The sequence below is a fragment of the Homo sapiens genome, chromosome 2 (assembly GCF_000001405.40).
Source record: "Homo sapiens chromosome 2, GRCh38.p14 Primary Assembly".
Lineage (NCBI taxonomy): Eukaryota > Metazoa > Chordata > Mammalia > Primates > Hominidae > Homo > Homo sapiens.
In genome coordinates, this window is record NC_000002.12 from 190,841,445 (window position 1) to 190,846,361 (window position 4,917).

Consider the following 4,917-nt stretch of genomic DNA (forward strand, 5'->3'; position numbering starts at 1 on the left):
AGTGGCTCTCCACTCCTTACCTCCTCTTTCTGAAGGCTCACCCAGGATGACACAAAAGCACCACTCAAGAATAGTTTCAGACACAATGAAATTTAACTCCTTGTTCAGAAAAGAAACATTCTCCTAAAGGACACAATCCACAGAAATATATCTCCATCCTCAATGGAGACAAATTTTCATAGTTTAACTCCTCAAAGTCTTAATTGTCTGAATTCCAAATTGGGTCCTGCTCAATTTCTCTTAAGTGTCCAACACAGTGATTATTTTTCGAAATAGTAATTTTCTCAAAAACTAAACCATAAACTCTACATTTAGAGACACGAAAACACTCTTCTCACTTCAAATTGGCAGTTTTCCCTCCTCATGGGCATCAAAGTTTCCAAAAATATCTCGGGGCCCAATTTCAGCAGAGCACCAACTTTCTAGCATATGTTGCTCAGTCACTGTCTAGATTCTAGAATGTAAGCCAAACCTTTGTGATGGGTGGAAAATTCCCTCTAGTCTGAATCAGCAGAGCTTCTCTCTCTGCCTCCACCCCCTTGTCACTCAAGGACATTGCAATGATCTACATTTGCTCTTTCTGGGTATTCGTACTGTGTGTAGACCTTTGCTGCTTAATCAGCTTTCAACCAATAGATTCATGTCAGTGAACTGACAGGTCAACCCAAAGGAGGAGAGAATGTACCTTGTTTCACGAAAGATCATCTTTTCTTCTTGCATACCGGTTATCTATTATTATTTGCCTACAAAAATAATTATTGCTCTTCTTCACGATCCTCCAACTGTTCTGATCTGTGGTAACTATGAAAATGCACCTTTCAGATTTCTGCCTGTGGGCACCCTTGGCTGCTGTGCTCTGAAATCATCATTGTATTTGAGCCAAATTCGTGCTTCCTACAGGCTGCTTTTAGCCAATGACTGAGCAATATAGGGATACTAAGGCAGACCTGCTTCTGAGAGTCACAGAGCTCCTCTGATAGGCAACTTTGACTCTAAGATTTCCCAATATTTGCCAAACTTTCTTAGAGCTAAACTGAAGTCTAGGGTGATTCTCCCAATTCTCTTCCTTTTTTTCACTCATCCAACCAGGTCAGGCCTGGGTTGTGCAGTCTGACGGTTCTCCTGGCCTTCATTTTCTACCCCCTACCTACCTTATTTTTCTCTCACAGACATTGCCCCTAACAAACCTCTTTTTCCTCTATCCTATCTTGAAGCCTGACTCTTGGAGGACCCAAGTCAACACCAATGGTACTGATGTTGAGAAATGGGCTGAGAAAACAGGTGACAAAGTAGGAATTTGGGACTGGCTCACTCACCACCTGGCAGGTGAAGGGTTGTCATCCTGGTTGGCAGGCAGGGCACAGATAGTATTTGGCACAAGGTGGTAGTGGCTCAGTGGCTCAAGACTTCACTCATGATGACCTGGAAAAATATCCTGGTGAAGTAAAATGCTGTAGCAAATATGATGATGCAGGCATTTAAAATGCATGGGGAGGGTGGATGGTGCCTACAAATAAACATTTTTAGGATTATTAGTCAGAAGCAGAGATAATACTGATATCTAGAGATTCAAAGCATGGTTATGGTCCCCTCCACCTCCACTAGTGTGGTGGTCTACAGGGCCAGGTAATAAACGAGTTGGCTAAAATTTCACCCACTGGATTCAGGAATCGACTCAGTGGTCATTTCCCAAGTTCCTGAGAATATCATTGGAATTGGCTTAGCATTTGGAATAACTCCCACATTCGGTCCTTGGGCTATCATAGGGGAAGAGGTTAAGTGGAAACCTCTGAAACTGTCCCCAAACCCTAGCCAAGATAATAAATTAAAAAAACAGTATCGCCAGGCACAGTGTCCCATGCCTGTAATCCCAGCAGTTTGGGAGGCCGAGGCAGGCGGATCACCTGAGGTCGGGAGTTCAAGACCAGCCTGACCAACATGGAGAAACCTCTTCTCTACTAAAAATACAAAAATTAGCCAGGCGTGGTGGCACGTGCCTGTAATCCCAGGTACTCAGGAGGCTGAGGCAGGAGAACTGCTTGAACCCGGGAGGCAGAGGTTGCAGTGAGCTGAGATGGCGCCACTGCACACCAGCCTGGGTGACAGAACGAGACTCTGTCTCAAAACAAACAAACAAGCAAGCAAACAAACAAACAAATACTATCATATCCCATGAGATGGTAGAAATGATTGCTACAATTAAAAACTTAAATGATGCAGGAGTAGTAATCACTCCATTTCTGTTTAACTCACCAATGTGGTCCGTGCAGAAACCAGCTGGGTCCTGGAGAATAACTGTGTACTATTACAGACTTAATCAAGTAGTAAACCTGATGATTATAGTTACTGTGCCAGATGTGATACTGTGCTAAGCAGATTAATAAAACTTCAGGTACCTAGTTTTTAGCCATTGATTTGGACAACATATTCTTTTCCATTCCAATTAGGAAAGAAGATCAGAAAAGGTTTGAATTCAGATGAAATAGACAATAATATTGATCTCCGATTTTGTCTTGGGGCTATGGTAACACTCTTACCCTTTGCCATAATTTTGTCTGAAAAGGTCTGAATCACCTATGAGTCCCTCAGAACACCACCCTGATTCATCACATCAATAAAATCATGATGACTGGACAAAAGAGGAAGAGGTGGCCAGTATGCTAGAAGCCTTGGTTAGATACATGCTCCAAAGGGTGGAAGATGAACTCTACAAAGACTCAGGACCTGCTAGTACAGTGAAATATTTAGGAGTCCACTGGCCATTACCTCCAAAGTAAAAGACAAATTGCTGAATCTGTGAACAAACATGGGAGGGGGCATGAAGTGTGAAGATTTTTTGTATTGTCCCTTAATGTTCAGCAAATAGCAACTACCATGAAAAAAGTACTCAACAGATAAGTAGACAAAATGACTCACCCAGTTGATTTTAGTCATCCCAGAACTGACACAGTGGGTACGTGAATGAAGTAGCCCCAGTGGCAGGCATGGAGGCTATATATATATGGGCCCAACAGCATGGTCTACCACATACTGAGACAGACATAGCTACTGCTGTCTCTGAGTGGCCAGCTTGTCAGAACCAAAATCAGTGCTAAGCCCCCAATAACATACTTCTGACCTGTTTTCTCCTTGCCTTCTGTGAAGTATCTGTCACACCCTTTATGAGATGGGAGTGGAACAGAGGTGAGCTCATGGAAAGGTACCTACTCTTGTGACTCCTCTACCGGCTGTCTCAAGTTACCAGACAAATGGATGATTCAACATGCTGGTGGGAAAAGAAAAATACCAATTTTTCCATTCAAGGTTAGTTACTTCAAGAAAAAGAAATGACATAAAATGTGGAGATTGTCCATGAGAAAAGTGAAAAAATTAAAATAATAGACCATTAAAAGAATCCTAACCCGCAGGGGGAAAAAAAAACTAATAAAAAGATCAGATCAGTTTCTTCCAAAAAAAAAAGGCTAAATGAGACTGGTAATATAAAGAACAATGCTATACAAGGAAAGGCAATTTTCAAAAAGTAAGAAGGTATCACAGAAGCACATGTGTTAAATGTATCAACTAAAATTTAGACATGTCAAAAAAAAACTCAAGAAGTATACTTGAGTATCTTGAGGGACTCAAAAATGAATACTAGAAGACTCTAAAATCACTAAATGGTAGAGTCCAGTTGAAATATAATAAGCCCAAATTTAATGTCTTGCTTTAGGAGGATCAGGGGATTCCCAAGCCACATTTTGCTTCTGCAAAAACAAATTAGAGGAATTAGATCAAATTGTGATCATGCTTAGGTCATCTACAACGAATTAGCTAACCATTTATAGAACGACTCCTTAGAAACAGATATTTTTCCAATATTTCGCCACTTTTATTAATATTAAAGTTCTTACCAAAGGCCATAGCTACTCCTTATGGTGCCTTTGTAAGAAATAGAAAAAGATGTTCCCTTGGGAATTTCAGCTTCCACTCTCCCTTGTGAAGGGGCAACCTTATTCCACTCACATACCCACTCAGCAAATAAAACTACCACCTACCCCACATAGAAAACTGAGACCAAGAGTGGCAAACTCCTTCAGCTTCTGTCTTCCCCTTTGATTTACCTCTATCTTTGCGTGTTTTCTGCTGTGTGATTCTTTCCACACATACCCCATCCTCCTCTCCTTTTCTATCCTCCAGGTTCCAGCCATACCCCATTTACACGCTCACCCCTTTAGTCCTGCACTTTCTATGTTTTGTCTTCCTCAGCCTTCAAGGAGACATAAGTCTCCTTACTTTAAAAACACAAAAGTTTTCCCTCCACAAACTTGTTGAAAAAGCACTGCTCCTCTTTATCCTCCCTTGCTCACCTGTCATTTACTCCTCCACGCTCTGCACTATTGTATTACATCTCACCCCTCGATTCAAAGACACAAAAAGGTCACTTTGACTCACTAAATCACAATAATTTCTGTTTCTATCCTTGACATCTCTGCATCATTTGACTCTATTGACCTTCTTTCTTTAAACTTCCCCTGGCTTTTTGGAGAGTTCTACCTCTCTGACTTCTCTTTCTCAGCTTATTATTCTGTCTTTTATTGATTTTTTAAAAGGGCAGGGGAGCGGCGCAGTCTCATCTCTTTCTAAGGTTTAATGATGGCATCTACTGTGGAATAAAAGATCATTGAAAACTTGTACACACTTAATGTTGGTAGAAAATATATTTTATTTTATCGGGGGAAATCCTGTCTAAATAACATTTTAGACTTCTTAGAGAACAAAAAAAACTAAATGTCTTGCTAAGCATAGCAATAGATATAATGTTTTTGGAAGTGTTTGATAGGATTCTGTACTAAAAACAATTTAATAAAACAGAAATCACCACGAAAAATACTTAATGGATAAAAACTGCCCTAAAAACACTAACCATAAGGTCATAGG

The 4,917-nt window shown here is 40.6% G+C and overlaps 1 annotated feature.

Moving 5' to 3' along the window:
* Positions 1,881 to 3,080: an enhancer, noted in NCBI's record as "P300/CBP strongly-dependent group 1 enhancer chr2:191708051-191709250 (GRCh37/hg19 assembly coordinates)". NCBI's record gives its function as "activates an origin of replication core promoter dependent on BRD2, BRD4, P300/CBP, MED14 and CDK7 cofactors, with strong dependence on P300/CBP, by STARR-seq in HCT116 cells {active_cell/tissue: HCT116}" and the evidence as "EXISTENCE:reporter gene assay evidence [ECO:0000049][PMID:35650434]".